The 23743-nt window shown below is 43.2% G+C and overlaps 1 protein-coding gene across 3 annotated transcripts in view; it reads right to left on the bottom strand.

The window, feature by feature from the left end:
• Positions 1 to 23743, bottom strand: part of TNRC6B (trinucleotide repeat containing adaptor 6B) — a 290975-nt gene that overhangs the window by 28990 nt on the left and 238242 nt on the right. For all 3 annotated transcript variants that reach the window (NM_001024843.2, NM_001162501.2, NM_015088.3), the window contains 4 exons: positions 21049 to 21174; positions 6233 to 6364; positions 5814 to 5909; positions 5486 to 5669 (listed from right to left, as the gene is read on the bottom strand). In NM_001024843.2, coding sequence (NP_001020014.1) covers positions 5486 to 5669; positions 5814 to 5909; positions 6233 to 6364; positions 21049 to 21174 — 538 coding nt within the window. The remainder of the gene's footprint in view (positions 1 to 5485; positions 5670 to 5813; positions 5910 to 6232; positions 6365 to 21048; positions 21175 to 23743) is intronic.

Below are 23743 nucleotides of genomic sequence, written 5' to 3'. Positions count from 1 at the left end.
AGACGGGGTTTCACCCTATTGCCAAGGCTGGTCTAGAACTCCTGAGCTCAGGCAATCTGCCCACCTCTGCCTCCCAAAGTGCTGGGATTACAGGCATGAGCCACCGTGCCTGGCCTTATTTATTTATTTTTTTTAAAGAAGAGTTTGAGGCATTTTTAAATTTCTTTCATCCTGGGTAGCAGAAATGAAATTAGATTGCAGGGCAGGAAGGTTGCAAGGAACAAAGGTTTTCTCTGACATAGCCTTAATGGCCTAAGCAGGTTGCTCCTTGAGTAAATTACACTTCTGCCTTTGAGAAAACCAGGCCAAGGTGCTTGGATTCCAGGCCACCTGAAAGCTCAGTTCTAATCATTGAGAAAGAGTTTTTGGAAATAACCTAGGATTCTGGCAAAGATTAAAAAGAATACTAGCATTACTAAGAAGAGGAGGAACCATTCCTTACACATTAATTTTCTTTGAAGTTACTCTAAAATTTCTATAAAACCCATAGTGAATTAAATTTCTTTTTTTCTTTCTTTTCTTTTTTTGAGACGGAGTCTCGCTCTGTCGCCCAGGCTGGAGTGCAGCGGCACAATCTTGGCTCACTGCAACCTTCGCCTCTGGGTTCAAGCGATTTTCCTGCCTTAGCCTCCCGAGCAGCTGGGACTACAGGTGCCTGCCACCACACTCGCTGATTTTTTTTGTATTTTTAGTAGAGACGGGGTTTCATCGTGTTAGCCAGGATGGTCTCAATCTCCTGACCTTGTGAGCCGCCCGCCTCGGTCTCTCAAAGTGCTGGGATTACAGGTGTGAGCCACCGCGCCCAGCCAGTGAATTAAATTTCTTTAATTTCAGCTGCTTAGAGCTTTTTTGGTGACAAATGAAATGCAGAAAATTAAAGTTATAGCAAAAGGGCAAAGAAAGAAAAAAGCGAAAAAAGAGAAACATAAGAGGAAAGAAGGAAAGAAAATGAATGAGAGAAAGAAAGAGAAAGAGAAAGAAAAAGTAAGCAAGCAAGGAAAGGCAAGAACCTTAGAGAAAGCGGGCACTTTTCTCATTAGAGACTTGGGGATCAAATGCCACCACAGTAGGGCAGTCCCAGCGCTGCCTCACAAGGTTTGGTCAGGAAAAATAATCCAAGGGGTAAGAGAAAGAATAGGTGAGAAAATTGCCTTGAAAGGTTCAATCTACAAACCCCAAAGTATGAGAGGAAAAATCAGGCGAAGACGGACATAATTTTCTTTGATGTCACGTAGTAACCAGCCTGACGCTAGGATATGGAATGTGTCTGATGCATTTTGATGGAAGGAATTCTGGGACACTGTGCTCTAGTGGGTGCACTAACAAAGAAGAGATGGTGCTTCGCTAGTGACCTTCGGCTATTTACAAGCTGTCGTATCTCTAAACCCAAGAAAATACTGACTGTATTGTACTTTCCACTACAGCAAAACAAAATTTCCTTAGTCCACCAAGTGGTTTCCCTGAAATTTCTCACCAACACAGAGCTTTAGCTCAAATTAAGCCATTTAGTTCAGTTCAATGAATATTTATGGACAGTGTAATCTGTGCCAGGCCCTGTGTTAGGAGCTGAGGTACAAGTAGAGGTAAGACATGCCCCTTGCCTGTCACCTGCTTTTATCATTCATGCAAGGACAACCCTTTGCCTGCCTCATGCGTCTTTGCTAGAATTACTCTCTCTCATTCTCCACACACCCTAATTCATGGTCTGTTCACGACTTTTGGCTCCATTCTTACATCCTTGAGGAAATGCTCTTAAATTAACTTGTCCTTACACTGATCCTGCCTTCACTCTCTCTGTTTACAGTTCTGTTTTCTGCTCCTCTTTTTGCTATACATTAAAAAACAAACTAGTTTCTATAATTATTTTTAAAAAATCACCCATAATTGGCCATCCTAACACAACTGTTCTAAGTCCGTGTCCACATGTACACTTGGTATCGACACAATCATAATTGCAGCATAGATACAATTACTCTTCTGTCATTTTTATAATCTCCAATATTTATTCAGCTTTACTTTTCACAGGGATATACCAAATAAATATTACAAATTTTGATAAATTTTAAACATAAAAAGTGAAATTTTATCAGAAATGCATTTTCTAAGAAGATGAATTACTTTGTTTCTAAATGAGTTCAGATATCCACGGTAACCAACACTCCTTACTATAATGAGAATTTTCGCTACCATCTTATTTTAAATTTCTTTGTTGACATAAAGCACTAAGAAATTTGACTCATATAAATAAGTAGATGGGAACAGAAGGAGTCTTGTTATAACTTACTTCTCGAATTTCTTTTAAAGTATATGTTCCTTCCCCTAGCCCAGTAACACAGATACTAAAATATAATTTTTAGATAGGTCATTATCACCTAACAATTCAATTAGGTATTCTTTCTCTCTGTCTCCCTCTCCCTCTCACTCTTCACCTTGGCCTCCCAAAGTGCTGGGATTACCAGGCATGAGCCACGCACTCAACCTCAATTAGGTATATTTTCAATTTTGCTAAAAGGACAGAATTAGAAACCATCTGTTTTACAAAAGAATCAGTAAGGATTAGTTAAGCAGTCATTAGTCATTCAAATTCTTAATTTTGAGATAATGTAACAAAGAGGCTTTATCAAGACATATTAAGAAACTTTCAATTATTCTTGCTACTCTTTCACTTAGAGGTATCCTTTTTAGTTCAACATACTTAGCATCAGGAAAACTGAAAGACTGTTCATTTCATTACATCTTCGGCATTTAATTTATTAGAAAAAATTTTTTAATTTCTATATATGCTTTAAATATATTTTCATCAAATAATCTATTCAAAACAGGCAGCCAAATCTAACTTTCAGACCTAAAATGTATTCTTCAATTCAAACAAATATAATAATGCTAACTAAGGAAAAAAAATTATTTTTGAGACGGAGTCTTGCTCTGTCGCCAGGCTGGAGTGCAGTGGCATGATCTCAGCTCACTGCAACCTCTGCCGCCTGGGTTCAAGCTATTTTCCTGCTTCAGCCACTCCAGTAACTGGGATTACAGGTGCACACCACCACGTCCAATTAATTTTTTGTATTTTTAGTAGAGACGGGGTTTCACCATGTTGGAGGCTGGTCTTGAACTCCTGACCTCAAGTGATCTGCCCTCCTCCGCCTCCCAAAGTGCTGGGATTACAGGTGTGAGCCACTGTGCCCAGACAGGAAAATTGTAAGTGAAATAAATGACAAAACACATCTATCTTATAAGGCAGATTATAAATGGTCAGGTCACAATTAAAATGAGACCTAATAATGTTTATCTATTATTTAATAAGTTAACAAATATAGAAACAAGCTAATAAGTCAATATTTCTCTTTAATATGGAATAATATAATGCATAGCTAAATTTACAAGTTACTTATGAAACAGGAGTATGACAAAAATAATAAAATTTCTTCAGTAAATACGTATATATGTGTATGCTTAACTCTGATCCTTTAGCCATTAGAAGTAAGAAAGAATCGGCCAGGTGCAGTGGCTCACGCCTGTAACCCCAGCACTTTGGGAGGCCACGGTGGGCAGATCACCTGAGGTCAGGAGTTCAAGACCAGCCTGATCAACATGGTGAAACCCCATCTCTACTATACAAAAATTAGCTGGGAGTGGTGGCATGTGCCTGTAATCCCATCTACTCAGGAGGCTGAGGCAGGAGAATCGCTTGAACCTGGGAGGTGGAGGTTGTGGGAGGTGGAGGTTGGGCGACAGAGTGAGACTCCGCCTCAAAAAAAAAAAAAAAAAAAAAGAAGAAGAAGAAGAAGAAGAAGAAGGAAATACAGCATAAGGACACCTTTGTTAGTAATCAAGGGAGGCCCCGCCATGTTTGGTACCCTGGTGTTTTGCAGCCCAGATGAGCACAGAGCTGACCTTCTTCTATATCAAGTGCAAGAAAAGTTATTTCGAATTTAAGTCAGTTATCAGGCAGATCATCTTTAAGAATGAAAACAGTTGGTGGAAGCTAAGGATCTACAAAGTAATTCCGTTAAAATATCCAGATCAAGATCAAGAACACCTTGAAGTCTTTGCTCACCCCCTGCACGTGCAGTAGGAGGATCACGGGGTTGGCGCACAGTCAGCCGCTGCCATTTGTCCAGGGTCACACTGTCACCTAGAACCAGCAATTTCATGTCTTCCCAACTCTTTTTTTTTTTTTTTTTTTGAGATGGGGTCTTGCTCTATCACCCAGGTGGGAGTGCAGGGGCACAATCTCAGCTCACTGCAACCTCCGTCTCCCGGGTTCAAGTGATTCTCCTGCCTCAGCCTCCCCAGTAGCTGGGATTAGAGGCGCATGCCACAACGTCCGGCTAATTTTTGTATTTTTAGTAGGGACAGGGTTTCACTACATTGGCCAGGCTGGTCTCGATCTCCTGACCTCGTGATCTGCCTGCCTCAGCCTCCCAAGGGGCTGGGATTACAGGTGTGAGTCACCGCGCGCGGCCCAACTCGTTTTTTGAGTGTGCGTAGAACAGTATCTTCTTTAGAAGATAAATTCTAAATGTTGTCAGTTTGAGATGAAACTATGATGGTGTGTGGTATCTTTTCCATTTTAAAATTTTGTTTTGAAATCACTGTTTCCTCACCAATTAGATTCTGCTTACAGCATGTTTTCCAGTTCTGAAAGAGCTATGATTTGCCTGCCAAAAAATTCTTGAAGAATGTTAAAGGCATAACCTTACTTGTTCTAATTCTATTTAAATCAGATGAAATACTAATATCAAATGAATTTTTATCAATCTGCACTATAATTTTAGTTCATTTTTTCTATAGAAGGCAATTTTATTAATATGAGTACACTAAAACATTTCAAACTAGTACATATTTTAACAGATCATAACCTCAGCCATGTGTACCACTCACAGCATGCACAAGCATTTAAATAGGGTTTTAAAAATTCCCGGCGGTAGGAGAGCAGTTTGCCATTCATACACACGTATTGAAAGACTGCTGGCTTCATGCTGGTGATCAAAAAGTTTCAGATTTTGGGGCATTTTGGATTTTTAGATTAGGGGATGCTCAACTTGTAGTTAAAAGGTGGAAACAATCCAAGTTTATCCATTTCAGCAGAAAAGTGGGTAAACACACTGTGGTATATCTGCACAATGGAGTATTACCCAGCCTTAGAAAGGGATGAATTCTGATATGTGCTATAGCATGTATGAGCCTTTACTGTGTTAAATAAAATAAACCAGACACACACACACACACAAAAAAAAGGAAGACTGCTTTGGAGCCAGAGAAGTTAGAGGCCTGGCTCTGCTATTTAGTAACCATGTGGTGAGCTCTGGAAACCCACTGAAACTCAAGAAGCCTCAGATGTCTCATCTGTAAACCAGGGATAAGAATATTTACCTACCTTGTACAGCTGACATAAAAAAGGAGGGTAATGCAGGTGCAACCCCTACCACAGGCCTAGAGAGGTAGATTTCTAAAAAGGTAATTTTCTCTACCAACAACTTACCAGAACCATATCCAGGTATTGGCCCTTTGGTTTGAAGGTCTGGGAGCCCCACATTCAATGCGTTGGGTACCATGTTGTCCAGATGCGGCTTGGGCCCAACAGGATGAGAGGGCGAGTGCTTCATGCCTGGCTGCCTCTGCTGCTGCTGCTGCTGCTGCTGCAGTGCACTCACCATTCGAGCCAGCTGAGGGCCAAGAGAGACAGACACGTGATAAGCACGGCCCCGAACTTCCCAGGAAAAGACTGTGCCCGGTTCTTTGCCATCAGAGGCTAAGCCGGGATGTACTCCTCCAACACAGCACTGGAGGGACCCTGCCTACCCACGTACCTGCTGCTCTTGCTGTTGGCGTACAGCTTGAGAAATCTTTCTCTGGTTCTGTAACAACTGCTGCTGTTGCTGCTGCTGCAAGAGAAGCTGACATGCCTACAAAACAAGGGGGAAAGACAGAAAACCAAAGTTTCCTGAGATTGATTTACTGAGGACACCTAAAGGGTCTGTGCACTGAAGTACAGGTCACACAATCAAAAGTATCCAGGAGGGAAGTAACACCAAATTCCCGGTCTCTTGGTTACATTTTCCTCCAGTTGAGCTGACAACCCTTAAGCACACTCCATAGTTTGCAAAGAAGTGTGGACTAGCACCCTTTGAACATAGAAAGTGGCAAAGATGTGGGAAGCAAATCAAAGCTAAAGAAAAAAAAAAAGCAAATGACCTTTTTAGCCACAGGAAGAAAATCTTCTACTTACCAACTGAAACTGGGGAATTTGTGGAAGCTGGCTCAGCATGGCAATTTGTTGAGGAGATAACTGGGGCCCCACATTGAAAAGACCTGGACTCAGGCCACTGTTGGGAAACTGCTTGAGCATTGAGGCAGAAACCTAGCCAAAAAAATAAAAAAGAAAGAAAAGAAAAGGAATCTTCAGAATTTATCAAAATAAAACTGTTTTTCTGTGAAAAGAATCTTGATGAATCTAAAGCAAGAGTTGTCAAACTTTTCTGTGAAAAATATATAACAGGAAAAATACACTCAAGGGTTAACAATGATTATCTTGGAGCAGTGAGATTACAACAGTTTTTAAATTTTCTTCTTAGACTTTCCAATTTTCTACAATAAAAAGTATAAATTTTATATTCAGGAAAACATCTTCAAGAAAAAAAAATTGATGACAATATGGCTTTTATCCAACCAAGAAATTATTACTGGAAATGTGCCATAAAACAAAACATGCTACATTGCATAAAGCTAATAAATAATACTTACGTGAAAGTATTTCTGTGCTACAAGTAAGACAAATATATTAACTTGTAAATAGAAGACATGAGTTTCAATGCATGGCTTCTGATAGCAAACACCCACAGAGTGGCAGTGTAAAAAAAGAGCCAGCATCAAAGAGCCTGGAAGGTCACTGACCCGGCAGGGTCCTTCTCCCTGTTCTCAGGAGTGAGCTAGGCGAGGCTGCAGGAAGCTCTGGCGACAGAGGATTCCCTCCTATCTTTGGTTTGCTCCTCTAAGATGATTTAAGTAAGAAGAAGTGAGTTTCCCTGCACCCTCATCTACTGAACCCACTGGACTAGTTGGGGCCATGGAGAACAAGCTTAAGAACGTGTCCGTGAGTGCCAAGTAGTGTAGCACAATGGCCAAGAATTTAGTCCTAGAGGCTGGGCACAGTGGCTCACACCTGTAATCCCAGCAGTTTGGGGGACTAGCTTGTGCCTAGGAGATTGAGAACACCTGGGCAACATAGCGAGCTATCATCTCTTTAAAAAAATAAAAAGGTTAAAAAAAGACTTTAGAGCTGGGTGTGGTGGCTCACGCCTGTAATCCCAGCACTTCAGGAGGCTGAGGTGGGTGGATTACCTGAGGTCAAGAGTTCAAGACCAGCCTGACCAACATGCAGAAACCCCGTCTCTACTAAAAATACAAAATTAGCTGGGTGTGATGGCGCATGCCTGTAATCCCAGCTACTAGGGAGGCTGAGGCAGGAGAATTGCCTCAAGCTGGGAGGCGGAGGTTGTGGTGAGCCAAGATGGTGCCATTGCACTCCAGCATGGGCAACAAGAGTGAAATTCCATCTCAAAAAAAAAAAAAAAAGACTTTAGTTCTAGAGGCAGACTGCCTGGGTTTGTAATCCCAGCTCTGCCTGCCTCCCCAGTTTTGTTTTTTTTTTTTTTTTGTTTTTTTTTTTTTGAGACAGGGTCTCACTCTGTCACCCAGGCTGGAATGCAGTGGCGTGATCATGGCTCACTGCAGCCTTGACCTCCCGGCTGGTCTCAAACTCCTGGGCTCAAGCCATCCTCTCAAAGTGTTGTGATTACAAGTATGAGCCACCGCTCCCAACCCAGCTCTGCCATTTCTTTTTTTTTTTTGAGACGGAGTCTCGCTCTTTCACCCAGGCTGGAGTGCAGTGGCGCTATCTTGGCTCACTGCAAGCTCCACCTCCTGGGTTCACGCCATTCTCCTGCCTCAGCCTCCCGAGTAGCTGGGACTACAGGCGCCCGCCACTGCGCCCGGCTAATTTTTGGTATTTTTAGTAGAGACGGGGTTTCACCGTGTTAGCCAGGATGGTCTCAATCTCCTGACCTCATGATCCGCCCGCCTCGGCCTCCCAAAGTGCTGAGATTACAGGCGTGAGCCACCGCGCCCGGCCCCAGCTCTGCCATTTCTAAGCTGACTCAGAGCAAGTTACTCATTTAGCCTTTCTGACCCTTACTTTCCTGATCTCCAACTGGAATGACAACAATATTAACTTCAGTCATTATTAGATTTTATGAGTTAATCAATGTCAAATGCTTAGAGATGTCCTCCATAAATGTTCACATTATTCCACAGGCTGATTCTTCAAATGTCTTCAGACAATGATTACAGTTCCCTTGCATCTCATCTTCAGGCTCAATATGATCAGTTCTTTCACCTGTATCTCCTTCCATTTCTTGGTGAAGAGCCAAGAACAGAAAGGTATTTTCTAGAGTAGTCTAACACCAAGTAGACCCTAAGCATTCTGTTAAAAGCTGTGCTTTCATGAACAATGCCTAAGATGTCAATTTCTCTGGTGATTGTAACTCCTGATTCACACACTAAGCTTAATGTTAGTTAAAATCTATAATATTTAAAAACATGCTTTTGTTCCCTCATGTAATATTTAACCCATGTAGCTGGGTTTTTTTTAATGATTTTTTAAATTTATTTTTATTTTTATTTTTATTTTTTGAGATGGAGTCTCGCTCTGTTGCTCAGGCTGGAGTGCAGTGGCGCAATCTCGGCTCACTGCAAGCTCCACCTCCTGGGTTCACGCCATTCTCCTGCCTTAGCCTCCCGAATAGCTGGGACTACAGGTGCCTGCCACCATGCCCGGCTAATTTTTTGTATTTTTTTTAGTAGAGACGGGGTTTCACCATGTTAGCCAGGATGGTCTCAATCTCCTGACCTTGTGATCCACCTGCCTCGGTCTCCCAAAGTGCTGGGATTACAGGCGTGAACCACTGCACCCGGCCTATTTATTATTATTATTTTTAGATAGAGTTTCACTCTGTCGCCCAGGCTGGAGTGCAGTGGTGTGATCTCGCCTCACTGCAAGCTCCACCTCCTGGGTTCAAGCAATTCTTCTGCCTCAGCCTCCTGAGTAGCTGGGACTACAGGCACGCACCACCACACCCAGCTAATTTTTGTATTTTTAGTAGAGACGGGGTTTTACCATATTGGCCAGGCTGATCTCGAACTCCTGACCTCGTGATCCACCCGCCTTGGCCTCCCGAAGTATTGGGATTACAGGCGTGAGCCACCGTGCCTGGCCTTTAAATTTTTATTGATTTTTTAATTTGAGCTTAAGACCTTACGTATATCTTTATGAGCATGGCATATAGAAGATGCTCCATAAATATCTATTAAATGAATGAACCTCTATCATATTTAACTTCACAGTCACCCCACCAAGTTCTTGTTGATCCTATTATTCTACTTATTCCCAGTTTGTGTTCCCCCATCCCGTCACGGATGGGAATGCTGAACTTGATAGAGCTGAGGATAATCTAGTCATATGCCGCTAAAGCTTCCTTTCAATATGAAACGATCAGCCTAGGAATCGTCAGTTACTAATCCACACAACTGTTTTAATGTTTAGCCAATATATTTCCATCTCATCCAAAAGAGAGAAGTTGTCAAACGGCCTGTTAAAGTAGAGTACAACAACTATATTGTTCTTCTATGCCAGTATTTCTACCAATCAATGAAGGGAATGTATGAAAACTTGTTAGCAAACTATGATTATTGATTACTGCCATACGTACTCAAAAGCAATCTTCTTGATAATCTAGATTCTTTCCTGGAATTGGGACCAAGTTCATTAGTCTTCTAGCTACTTTTTCCTTATTTCTCCTTTCAGAAATCATTTTAAAAATTTCCCCAGGCTGGACATGGTGGCTGACACCTGTAATCCCAAGCACTTTGGGAGGCCAAGTCGGGCGGAGATCACTTGAGGCCAGGAGTTTGAGACCAGCTTGGCCAACATGGCAAAACCCTCTCTCTACTAAAAATACAAAAATTAGCTAGGCATGGTGGCAAGCGCCTGTAATCCCAGCTACTCAGGAAGCTGAGGCACGAGAATCGCTTGAACCCAGGTGGCGGAGGTTGCAGCAAGCAAAGATCGTGCCACTGCACTCCAGCCTGGACACCAGAGAGAAACACCATAAGGAAAAAAAAAAAAAGGCCGGGCGCGGTGGCTCACGCCTGTAATCCCAGCACTTTGGGAAGCCGAGGCAGGTGGGTCACGAGGTGAGGAGATCGCAACCATCCTGGCTAACACGGTGAAACCCCGTCTCTACTAAAAATACAAAAAAATTAGCCGGGAGTGATGGCGGGCGCCTGTAGTCCCAGCTACTCGGGAGACTGAGGCAGGAGAATGGCATGAACCCGGGAGGCGGAGCTTGCAGTGAGCCAAGATCACGCCACTGCACTCTAGCCTGGGCGACAGAGCGAAACTCTGTCTCAAAAAAAAAAAAAAAAAAAAAAATTCACCATTCTCCTCAATTTCTTATAGTGGAGGGGTGCTTCTTTCCCATTTCTGATCTGAGGCTCCACACAGAGGACATCCACCTTTATTTTATCATAGAACTTAAGGCCCTTAAGGCCTCTTTCTCCTTCTTGGAAGCAAACCTGGAGAGAGGACTGCCCCATTACGGTGACTCTGGGTTAAGGCTGGAATTCGGTATTAGGAAGTACGCACGTTCTCCATTATCTGCTTTGTTGGTAGTAAAGAGGGTACTGTGGCCCCAATATGTTTTCCTCTTTTGCCTTAAACATTCAGAATGCGGGCAGGAAAGATGGGTGTCATTAAACTCCCCTCGAAGACTCCCAGCACTCCTCAAAAATCACAGACAGGGAGGGCTCCACAATTCTCTTCACAAATTCTTTCTCTGCTCTAGGATCTGTCTTTTGGTTTGAACGTCCTTCTTCTTAATATAAAAAACAAAAGCAACAAAAATTTTTACCTCCACTCTGTAAACCCTGGGCATTACACAACTAGTCCAAGGCAATGATTCCTTTCCTAGTCACCAAACTGCATCAAACCAAACTCTAAAGGTTCTTTTAATCTACCTCATTTTTTTTTGCAAGTCTCAGCTTTCTCTGTGTTTTATTCATGCTTGCTTTTACCCTTACTATCCATCTTCTGAAAATGTCCCATTATAAACTAAGTTAATCAGAAAGCTTCCCCATCTCCATTGCATCTTCTCATTTCATCATTCTTTGGCATCACGGTCAGAGTTAAATTCCTCAGTTTCCTAATACTTTTGAACCACCATCTCTGCTACATTCTCAAGACTACATGCCTATCTTTTCTTTCTTTCTTTTTTTTTTTTTTTTTGGAAATGGAGTCTCACTCTGTTGCCCAGGCTGGAGTGCAATGGCATGACCTCAGCTCACTGCAATCTCCACCTCTCGGGCTCAAGCGATTCTCCTGCCTCAGCCTCCTGAGTAACTGGGATTACGGGTGCCCGCCACCACGCTTACCTTTTTGTATTTTTTAATAGAGACGGGGTTTCACCATGTTGGTCAGGCTGGTCTTGAACTCCTGACCTCAAGTGATCCACCCACCTCGGACTCCCGAAATGCTAGGATTACAGGCGTGAGCCACCATGCTTGGCCCATCTTTTCTTTGACACTCTTCTAGTCTATAAACATTTGACCAAGTTCAGGTTTCCTGTACTAGGCTCATCAGCTCATTTTCTCTCAAGATCTGTCACTTTCACTCCACCCATCAACTCTGTCATTTTGGAAAGTACTCTAATTTCAAGTAATAGTTCCCCCCAGCTGCTTCCTCTCTATCCTCTAAGAGATGCTGAGTGTTACCAACCAATTTAAAAATCTGTTTGACTTTCTATTTTAATAGGTGTACTCCAAGCACACGTGAGCACCAAGTGAGCACACCACTACAGGGCATGCTGCCTCTGCACCAGTTTTAGGGCGAGCATGAGGAACACGTCCTCCACAATTTCCCCCAGATAACAACTCCTCTTCATCTCTGCTCTGAATTCACACAAAATGTCACCAGTGTGACTTAACTTACTGTCTCTGATATAATAATTTCAAACTCACTATAATTTGAGTCTGGGGGAAAGGAGGGTGAGTATAGATATATTCTGTGCTATTGAAACCATGTTCCAAACCGGATTCTTATCCCACCATACCTCAAGGATCCATAAAATCTTATGTACCACCTTCAGTGTGAATCCTAAATTCATCTCAGTTAGCGACTGTATTTGGTAACATAGTGTTGCCCATAAATTCATGCCCACTGGGAACCTCAGAAGGTGATCTCATTTGGAAATAGAGTCTTTGTAGATGCACTCAAGTTTAAGACGAAGTCATACTGAATTAGGGTGGGCCCTAATCCATTAACTGGTGTCCTCATATGAAGAGGGAAATTTTGAGACAGAGAAGAAAAAGCCATGTGAAGATAGAGACACATACGGGAGAACATCGGATGATGATGGAGGCAGACAGTGGTGATTTCAGACTGAAAAGCCTCCAGAACTGAGCTCAGGTTGATTGATTGATTGATTGACTGATTGACTGATTGATTTTTTGAGACAGGGTCTCACTCTATTGTCCAGACTGGAGTGCAGTGGCACGATCATGGCTCACTGCAGTTTCGGCTTCTTGGGCTCAAGTGATTTTCCCAACTCAGCCTCCCAAATAACTGAGACTACAGGCATGCACCACCATGCCTGGCTAATTTTTGTATTTTTTTTTTTTTTTTTTTTTTGTAGAGATGGGGTTTTGCCATTTTGCCCAGGCTTGTCTCGAACTCCTAGGCTCAAGTGCCTGTCTCAGCCTCCCAAAGTGCTGGAAGTACAAGTGTGAGCCACTGTGCCTGGCCTTTTTTTTTTTTTCTAGGTAGAGCAGACACTTTGGTCATAAAGAGATCTGCAGCACCCAAGTCTCTCACACAAAGTTAACTGCACTTTCCCAACAATTCTACCTTTGAAATCATTCTGATATGCATCTTCCCATGACTTAATATATATTAACTGCGCTCAAAATACATGTGCGGCACAGCTATTGATGCTCAGGCTCCAGCAGTGAACACAGCAGGCCCAGACCCTGCTGCTGTGAAGCTTATTACACTCCTAGGGGCAGGGCAGACAAGGAGCAAGCATGGGAGACACAGTAACAGGGCAAGAACCCATTATTCCCCACCATTCCCCTACCCCCCTCCGCCCCCGCCCTCAGGCATTCCTACTACTCAAAATTAGCTAAAGAAACCACCAAAGTAAAACCTGCCCGTGACCCAGCAGTACCATCGAGAAATTCATCCTGGGAGACAAACATGAGAATATTATAGCAGGCCAGGCACGGTGGCTCATGCCTGTAACTCCAGCATTTTGGGAGGCCAAGGTGGGCAGATCACGTGAGGCCAGGAGTTCGAGACCAGACTGGCCAACATGTGAAATCCTGTCTCTACTAAAAATACAAAAATTAGCCAGGCATGGTGGCTGGCAGCTGTAGTTCCAACTACTTAGGAGGCTGAGGCAGGAGAATTGCTTGAACCCGGGGGCAGAGTTGCAGTAAGCTGCGATCACGCCACTGCATTCCAGCCTGGGCAACAGAGGGAGACTCTGCCTCAAAAAAAAAAAAAAAAAAAAAAAGAAAAGGATATTATAGCAGCACTGCTCATAACAACAAACATCTAGAAGCAATCCAAATGTCTATGAACAGTAGACCTGGTAGTAGAATAGGTAAATTATGGTATAGTCATATAATGGAATATCATATGAACCATAGCTGCCCAAATCCACATGGGAATATATTTGAAATAATACAAGTAAAAATAGCACAACAAAAGAAGGAGGCTCTATACTATATGGGTTAAGTGCAAAAAAGGCAAAATGAAAACAACAGATTGTTTAAAGACAGAGAGACACATGCAGAAAGAATATAAAGAAAAGCATAGGAAAGTGATCTTTAGAAGCCACCAGCTCGTATGTTCCATAAACTGACAATTTTAGAGACAATAAAAGTGTAATTTTTGAGAAATTCCTATCCCAGCCGTGCTCAACTTCTCCTTTCTTAGGATTGCAAATGTACTGCCCCTCTCCAAAGAATACAGAAGGACCAGGGAAAAGCGCCACTAGGCTCCAGGCAAACACCTGCTCACGCCCGCCTGGGCTGCAGAGGAATCACGGTGGTGCAGGTCTGCACATTCTCCATTTCAGGGAGTTAATTATTCTGGTTTAAAAGCCCTTCAATCTCCTGCTGGATTGGAGAAAGTAAAGATCTTGTTGCAATCGATATGGCATTTAACAAAGCACTGCAGGTGCAAAATGACAGCAATTTAAAGTCAGGACAAAAGCCTGCTGGAATATGTTACTTTCTCAATATTGTATTTGAGTAACTGGAGGAAACAGGCATGGTAGAAACCCAAGGCCCGGAATATTTGTAACAAATCTTAGAAGTTTCAGTGTCATCCTTTTTTTTTTTTTTTTTGAGATGGAGTCTCACTCTGTCGCCCAGGCTAGAGTGCAGTGGCACAATCTCAGCTCACTGCAACCTCCACCTCCTGGGTTCAAGCGATTCTCCTGCCTCAGCCTCCTGAGCAGTTGGGACGACAGACGGGTGTGCGCCACCATGCCTGGCTTTTTTTTTGAGACGGAGTCTTGCTCTGTCGCCCAAGCTGGAGCGCAGTGGCACGATCTCGGCTCACTGCAAGCTCCGCCTCCAGGGTTCATGCCATTCTCCTACCTCAGCCTCCTGAGCAGCTGGGACTACAGACGCCTGCCACCACACCCAGTTAAGTTTTTGTATTTTTAGTAGAAATGGGGTTTCAGCATGTTGGCCAGGCTGGTCCCAAACTCCTGATCTCAGGTGATCCACCTGCCTTGGCCTCCCAAAGTGCTGGGATTACAGGCATGGGCCACTGAGCCCGGCCTCAGTATCTTCTATGTTTACATTAACTACTGATTGCCCCTATAATGTGGTCAAAAGGAATATAAAATCTGGTATTTATCAAAACCTTTTAAAATATTAATGTGCTTTGACCCAGAAATTTCATTTTGGGCAACTAAATTTAGAAAAAATGTGGGCAAGGGTTTATGTATAAGGATTTCTCTGCAGCATTATTTGTAACAGGGAAAAATTAAAAACAATTTAATACTCAACAGTGGGGGAAGGGAATGTTAAGTAAATCAAGGTAAATCTACCTGATGAAACATCATTATGATCACCGTGAATGCTACATAGCAACAGCAGAAAATTCAAGGACACAATGTTAACATCAGGTTCTAGTGACCCTGAGTGCAATAATGTGAAAAGCATCCCTGTATATGAATAGTGTCTGAATAGGGAATTAGTAAAAATAATTCCTGTCATTGTATTTGGGTTGGAGGTTTCTTTAAGAATTTGTTTCTCCGCTATCCAAACTGTGTGTGGTTATCTTGTCTTTTTCATTTTTTTTTTTAAGACAGGATATCACTGTCACCCAGGCTGGATTGCAGCGGTGTCACCATGGCTCACTGCAGCCTCAACCTCCTGGGCTCAGGTCATCCTCTCACCTCAGCCTCCCAAGTAGCTGGGACTACAGCATGCACCACCATGCCCGGCTAATTTTTTGTATTTCTGTTAGAGACAGGTTTTGCCATATTGCCCAGGCTGGTCTTGAACTCCTGGGCTCAAGCAATCTGCCCATCTTGGTCTCCCAAAGTGCTGGGATTATAGGAGTAAACCACCGTGCCTGGCCTTTTCTTTCTTCAGAGTTACCCAACTGCTTCATTTTTTAGAAATACAGAAATGTTGGGAAAAGACAGAATAATCCAATATTTAATATTCTGCTCCCAGTATGCATTAAATAAATAAAACAAAATTCAAAAATGGAGGGAACACAAGTAATTTTCTTTTTTGGGTAGAGCAGACACTTTGGTCATAAAGAGATCTGTAGTACCCAAGTCTCTCACACAAAGTTAACTGCAACTTTCCCAACAATTCCACTTTTGAAATCACTCTGATATGCATCTTCCCATGACTTGATATATAGTCACCGAGCTCAAAATACATGCCCTGCTCAGGCTCCAGCAGTGAACACAGCAGGCCCAGACCCTGCCACTGTGAAGCTTATTATACTCCTAGGCGCGGGGCAGAGAGGGAGAAAAGACAAGGAGCAAGCGGGTCGGGGGGTGGGGGAGTGACAGGGCAGGCTGCACACTGTACGTAGCTGCCCTGAGAAAGCTCCTAGGGAAGGTGGCAGAGAAGCAGAGAGCTGAAGGAGATAAAGACTGAGCCATGCTGCCATCTGGGAAGGATGTTCTAAGCGTATGCTTGGTGTGTGGGGGCCACTTGGCTGGAGCAGCATGAAGGTATGGGACAGTGACCTGTACTTGTGGGGAGGTGGGATCACCAGGAACCTCAAAGACCAGAGTAAAGACTTTGCTTTTGCCTTGCATTCTCAGCGAGAGAACCAGCCACGAGGGGATTCCCGCTGAAAGAGTAACACAACCTGCCTTTTGTTTTAGCACAGTGCTGTGCAGAACTTCCTGCAACGCCGACACGTTCTACGTCTGTGCTGTCTGCACAGTGACTATGAACCAGACGTGGCTATTTAAGTTAATTAAAATAAAATTTAAAATTCAGTGCTTCCAGTCCAGCGGCCACATTTCAAGGGCTGATGTGGCTGACGGCTATCACACTGGACAGTGCGGTGTCAGAGAATCAGTCTGACTCAGACGTGAGACAGGCAAATGTTGAGCCGAGGCAGGGTGGGGAACAGGCAGGAAGTCACTGCAATAACCTAGACAGAAACGGCGGTGGCTTGGCCAGGGCCTGTGCTGTTGAAAGTGGTAAAAAAGGATCCGCTTTTGGATAAAGGTTTGAAGGGCAGTCTTACTGATGCAATGAACATGGTCACGAGCTCCAAGGTTTTTGGCCTGAACTCCTATAGGATGAGAGTGCCATTTGCTGGGAGTTAAGGGGATGTTTTTGAGGGCAGTGTGGGGTGAGATCAGAAGCTGTGTTTTGAACATGTTAACCTGTAAGGCAACCTATGAGTAGTCTGTGGAGTTGAGGAAAAATGATGTGGGCTGAAGACACAATTTTGGAATTCAGTGCTTAAAGTCATTCCACTTGGTAAGATCACCTGGCACTGACTACAGATGGTGAGGAGAGGTTCGAAGGTTGAGATCTGGGACATTCTGCTGAATATGTATTGAGAACTTGAGGAGGAACTCGTAAAGGAGATGGAGAAGGAGAGGCAGATGGAGAACCAGTGTAGTAGGTGTCCAAAAGCCAAACACAGGAAGTGCTTCAGAAAGGAGGGGAACTCTGTCAAATGCTGCTGATACACTGAGTAAGAAGAGACTAGAGAACAGATCATCATATTATGCAAGGAAAAGATCAGAGGTGACTTCCACAAGAAGGTTAATTCCCACTGTCGCTGCCTTACCTAGACTCCTGTACTAGTCCTGCAACTGCACTCTTTTGCTCTAGTACTCCTGCCATTCAAACATGTCCTCTATATTACTTCCAGTGTTTGTTTGTTCCCTCCCTCCCTTCCTCTTTTTTTCTTTTTTGAGACGGGGTCTTGCTCTGTTGCCCAGGCTGGAGTGCAGTGGCTTGATCGTGGTTCACTGCAGCCTCGCCTCCCAGACTCAATCTATCCTCCCACCTCAGCCTCCTGAGCAGCTGGGACTAAAGGTACACACCACCATGCCTGGATCATTAAAAAAAATTTTTTGTAGGCTGGGCGCGGTGGCTCACGCCTGTAATCCCAGCACTTTGGGAGGTCAAGGTGGGGTGGATCACTTGAGGTCAAGAGTCCCAGACCAGCTTGGCCAACATGGTGAAACCCCATCTCTACTAAAAATACAAAAATTAGCCAGGCGTGGTGGCGCATGCTTGTAATCCTAGCTACTCAGGAGGCTGAGGCACAAGAATCACTTGAACCCAGGAGGTGGAGGTTGCAGTGAGCTGAGTGAGAGAGAGACTCTGCCTCAAAAAAAAAAAAAAAAAAAAGCTGGGCACAGTGGCTCACGCCTGTAATCCCAGCATTTTGGGAGGCCAGGGCGGGTGGATCAGGAGGTCAGGAGTTCGAGACCAGCCTGGCCAACATAGTGAAATGCCGTCTCTACTAAAAATACAAAAATTAGCCAGGCATAGTGGCACACTCCTGTAGTCCCAGCTACTCGGGAGGCTGAGGCAGGAGAATCACTTGAACTTGGGAGGCGGAGGTTGCAGTGAGCAGAGATTGTGCCACTGCACTCCAGCCTGGGCAACAGAGTGAGACTCCAACTCAAAAAAAAAAAAAAAATTTGTAGAGATGGGGTTTTACTATGTGGTCCAGGCTGGTCTCAAACTCCTGGGCTGAAGCAATCTGCCTGCCTCAGCCTCCCAAAGGGCTGGGATTGCAGGTGTGAGCCACTGCACCCAGCATCTTCTAAACCTTAAATTTTCCTACATCACTACTCAGCTGAAAAATCTTTAATAGTATATTGTCTACAGCAGTGGCCAAACTGTAAGTGCACATAAAGATCACACGGGGGTGACTAAGTCCCAAAGCCACCTGTCACAGAAGACTGGAGACCTGGGAACTGTGTCTTTAAGTAGCAACCCAAATAATGGTTGTAAACCACGTTGAAAAGGATTGGCCCATAGGGCCAAGTCCCAAATCCTAAGCAAAGCAAACACCTTTTCCAAATTTGGTCCCATACTTCTTGTCTAGTTCCTTTCTTTTCTATTCTAAGACAGTGTGTGTGCATTTGTGTGTACGTTTCAACAAGCTCTAACTAATTATTCAGAGTAACTGCCTTTCCCCCAAATGCTATGTTCTTCTAGATATTATTGCCCCTTGCACATGAGGCTCCTGCTGCTTAGAAGGCACTTTTAATCTGGTGTGCTCAGAAAATTCTGACTCATTCTTTAAGACTCAGACGTCACTGCTAGTGTGAAGGCTCAGCCGATTACCCAAACTCTGTTAAACATTTCTATACATTTATCACACTATCTGCTGGGAATTCTGCTATCACCTCCTCCTCACCTCAACCCACCCCTCTGCCACCAACTCCAAGAGGCTGCAGAGAGAGAGATGGCATTTTCTCCATCTGTGCACGATGAAGACATTATCTAACATGCTACAGATATTTGATAACCATGGATGACTGTCAGCCTGATACCAAAGGATACTGTAAAGTATGTGTATGCTCCAAGACTTAAGAAGACACTGCCATTGTAGAGTGCCAGGGAAGTCAGAAATGGCTCTGTCTAAAGGACAAACCTCTACCTGGGGCTTGAAGGATGACTGGAACTTAGAGGGAAAGAAGAGGAGAGGTGCCAAGGGGACACAGTCCCAGACTCCCAGGCAAGACCTTGGAGAGGCAGTTGGTGGTGATGACGGGGAGGCAAGGAAGGGGTGTGGAGAAACCTGACCTCCCCCACTAAGAAAGATACAGACTCAGAACATTAAAACTAGAATTTGAAATCTATAGTTGATCTTTTCAAATAAATATTTTAAGCCCTGGTCTTAAAGGGCATTTCAAAAAACAAAACAGGCTGGGCACGGTGGTTCATGCCTGTCATCCCAGTGCTTTGGGAGGCTGAGGTGGAAGGACTGCTGGAGTCAAGGAGCTTGAGACCAGCCTGGGCAACATAGCATGACTCCACCTCTACACAATACTTAAAACCAGCCAAGCTTGGTGGTGTGCATCTGTAGTCCCCAGCTACTTGGAGGCTGAGGAGGGAGGACTGCTTGAGCCCAAGAGTTTGAGCTTGCCATGAGCTATGGATCACACCACTGCACTCCAGCCTGGGTGACAGAGTGAGACTCTACCTCCAAAAAATAAAAATAAATAAAAACACAAAAACAACAAAAACTGAACCTTTACAACCTGCTGGTTGGATCTAATAAGCGCTCCCATCTTCTTTTAAGGATGAAACAGACTCAAAGCTTGGTTTATTAAAATAACATTCTAAGGAGGGACTAAGGCCACACACTGAATCCTTGCATGAGCTTATCAGCTATTACTCTATCCTCACGCCTGCTTTCTCACAAAGGGGAACAGGGAAAGTATGTGGTAGACTAACACAAATCTCTCACCTTTATCCCCAAAACAAAGCACCATCTCTTTGCACATCTCCTACTAAGGGACAGACCTAAATGGTTCCCATGGTATCCAATGGACTATGTCGTACACAGAGCTGCTCATGAATAAGAGTTGAATCCAGGAGTCTCTGCTACTTCATTAGTTCTAAAACTCCCCCTAGAGCACCTAATTGCTATGTTGGCATACAGCTCCTCAACATTTTCAGAATAATCCAGAATCTGGCAATTCTCATTTTCTATTTTTTTTTTTGAAATGGAGTCTCGCTCTATAACCCAGGCTGGAGTGCAGTGGCATCATCTCGGTTCACTGTAACCTCTGCCTCCTGGGTACAAGCGATTCTACTGTCTCAGCCTCTTGAGTAGCTAGGATTACAGGCATGTGCCACCATGCCCAGCTAATTTTTGTTTTGTTCTTTATGCCTGGCTAATTTGTGTTTTTTGGCAGAAACAGGGTTTCGCCATGTTGGCCAGGCTGGTCTCAAACTCCGGGACTCAAGTGATCCTGGCCTCAAGCACCTTGGCCTCCCAAAGTGCTGGGATTACAGGCATGAGCCACTGTGCCAGGCTGAATTCTCTTTTTATCTTTGGGTGAATCCTTGAGGGCAACCAGCCTCTGAACATTGACACATCAGAACTTATAAAGCAGTTTTAATTATATGCAGTTTCAAAAAATATAGTTAGAAAAATAGGAGATCTAAAAGGAATAGAATAATAAGCTTTTCATGCAAAAATATCTACTTTGTTGGTATGCATGATGAAATAAAAAATGAGATTTGAGATTTTGTTCTAAAAGTCTTCATCTTTGGCAGCTAGATATTTCATATTTTACTCTACTTGATCTTAGCCAAAAGGTCAAGAAAAGATGGCTTTTTCATATTTTATGCTACTTACTATCATTCTTTTTATGCCCACAAAAATCAGTTAACAACTGGTAATGATGTGAAATGGTCTTTCATTTTGAATCACAGGAACGTAAAATTGCTTACCTGGGGGGAAATAAACTGGGGAGGCACTTGCGCCCGGAGACTGGGAGAAGAATTTAGTGGCTGCACGGGTGTGTGCAGACCTCTCGATTGTGCTGTGCTGTTTCCAAACAAACCATGACTACCGCCCTGTAAACAGAAAAGCAGCAGTAAGGCTTTTTGTTAACATAAGAAAATGCAAGTAAGAAACAGTTCTGGTCTTTTAGATCCCTCAGAAGAATCACAGGCTGTGTTCGATGGAATAACAGAATTTTGTAACTGAGAAGTTCCTTATCTTAGAAGGCTTGGGGCAATTACTCAGATTGACTCATGGGCACCTGTACAGTTTGAAGAACTCTATAAACGGAAAGGGTTCAATGTCATCAAATATTAGGAAAAGTCCTACATTCTTTTTTGTGAACCAAAGATATAGGCAACATAACATTTATTTCAAGTACTCTTCTTTGCGATTGGGTTTACCAAATTTATTCTCAAACTTTATAATCTGAGCTCCATCTTGAAAGGCACCTGAGTAAAAATGCAGCCTTATGAATAGTTATCAGTTGTATTTATAAAACATTATGATGTGATTTCTCTGCCGTCCAAGAGTGAGCCTAGCACCCTTCCTTGTCCTGGATCTGCTCAATCCTTTCTTTGACAGATGAGGAAATGTGACTCAATTACCCAGTGAGATAGAAAAGGAAGAAAGGGAGAAAGTAAAAACCATTACAGGGACACCAAAATAAACATTACTCACCTGTAACTTCTCATTCAAACACATATCAGTCTAGTTAAAAATAAGCGGAACTCCCTCCTTTCTGGAGGCCCAACTCACTGGAGCACTTCTACACTATTCCAATGAGATAACTAAGAGAGTTGGGTTATATGGTGGCCCTTCCTTTCTGACTGGTTTCTAGCTGAGAAAAGTCCTTCAGCGAAGAAACCATATTTGATAATAATGCAACACTGTGTTCTCTCTGCCTGAGGTTCTTTCTGATACCATCTTCACTTGACCTCTTCAAGGCCCAGCTTGGAGGTCATCCTCATCAAGGAAGTCTTCCCCAAAACATCTTCCTGATTTCACATTCAGATTAACTGGGCCCACCTCTCCAATCTCAAAACGCTTTAAAACTCATCAAACCACACTATAGTTATTTTCCATTCTGTCTTTCTACTGTTAAATCTTTCCCTCTTCGTATTCCCAGAACTCAATAAATCCCCAGTCTGTAGGATGAATATATCATCTGTAAATATCCATGACCCACCAATTCCACACACCGGAAAATGTCCCACTGAATACCTTCAGCAAAGACAGCTGCATCACTGCTTATACTGAGTATTATACATATACCCTGAATTGAAATCACCACCATTATCATAACCCTGGAATCACATGGATTAAGGTAATTTTAAAGAATTTTGTAATGGCTTCATTAAAACCTACAACACTAAAAATACTGTGATGGCTTAATGATTAAAAAATAGATTAAGGGACTGCTGTAGGGAAATTAGTGAACTTAAAAGCATTGAAAATAAAAATGATTCTAAACATAAAGTCGAAATGGCAATTAAAATCTGTGTATCTCATAAATCAAAGATTCATCACGAATTTTATGTCTCCCCAAGGGTTGTTGAAACATGAGAAGACCTTTAATTCTAGAAACTCTAAATCTCTGCTGCTGCTGTCTTACCAACACACAGCCCTAACTTTCCTCAGATCGTGGTAGTCAGTAGCTTCGCCACCCTGATCACCTCCAAGAAAACAGGAAACATTTATTTCACCAAGGATATTCTGCTACGATCTTTCTCACTTTATCATCAAAGTAATGACTTAGTTATTAGATGTCAATTATTCACGACTGGTCCTTGGACGGTGGGGTTACTGGTAACTAAAGTTCCTGCCAGAATCCATTTTTTGGCAAATACAAAATTGCTTCCTGAGGGTCATTCTAAATTTCAACCTCTCCTTTAATAACAAGCATTGAAAAGAATTTACTTTTTAATCTCCTGTAAAATCAATTCCTACTTTCCTCTTCCCAGTAGACAATTTCCACCCTCCCCCACCATAGGTTTTAGGCTTTTCATTATCAAGTGACCCTACAGCCACACAAAGCACTATGATATATCTGGAATGGACAATAATATAGGTAAGTCCACAGTAGTTGATCAAAAAATGCCTCGTCTGTAACTTAATATGGAAGCTGGGCATCACAAGCTGCTCATTTTCTTGGCCCCAATATAGCTATTTTTGCACAGTGATGTATTCAGGGGCAATCATACAGATTTGGTCTTTAAAAATATTTAGAAATTAGGAAAAGGGTAATCAAAAACTTATAAAGGCCAGGTACAGTGATTCACACCTGTAATCCTACCATTTTGGGAGGCTGAGGCTAGGAGTTCGAGACCAACCTAGGCAACATAAGCAAGACCCCATCTGTAAAAAATAAACAGGAGAAAGGCTGGGCACGGTGGCTCACGCCTGTAATCCCAGCACTTTGGGAGGCCAAGGCGGGCGGATCACGAGGTCAGGAGATTGAGACCATCCCGGCTAACATGGTGAAACTCCATCTCTACTAAAAATACAAAAAATTAGCCGGGCGTGGTTGCGGGAGCCTGTGGTCCCAACAGCTACTCAGGAGGCTGAGGCAGGAGAATGGCGTGAACCTGGGAGGCTGAGCTTGCAGTGAGCAGAGATCACGCCACTGCATTCCAGCCTGGG

The sequence above is a fragment of the Homo sapiens genome, chromosome 22, assembly GCF_000001405.40.
Source record: "Homo sapiens chromosome 22, GRCh38.p14 Primary Assembly".
Classification (NCBI taxonomy): Eukaryota; Metazoa; Chordata; class Mammalia; order Primates; family Hominidae; genus Homo; species Homo sapiens.
This window is presented reverse-complemented; position numbering and strand designations above follow the sequence as displayed.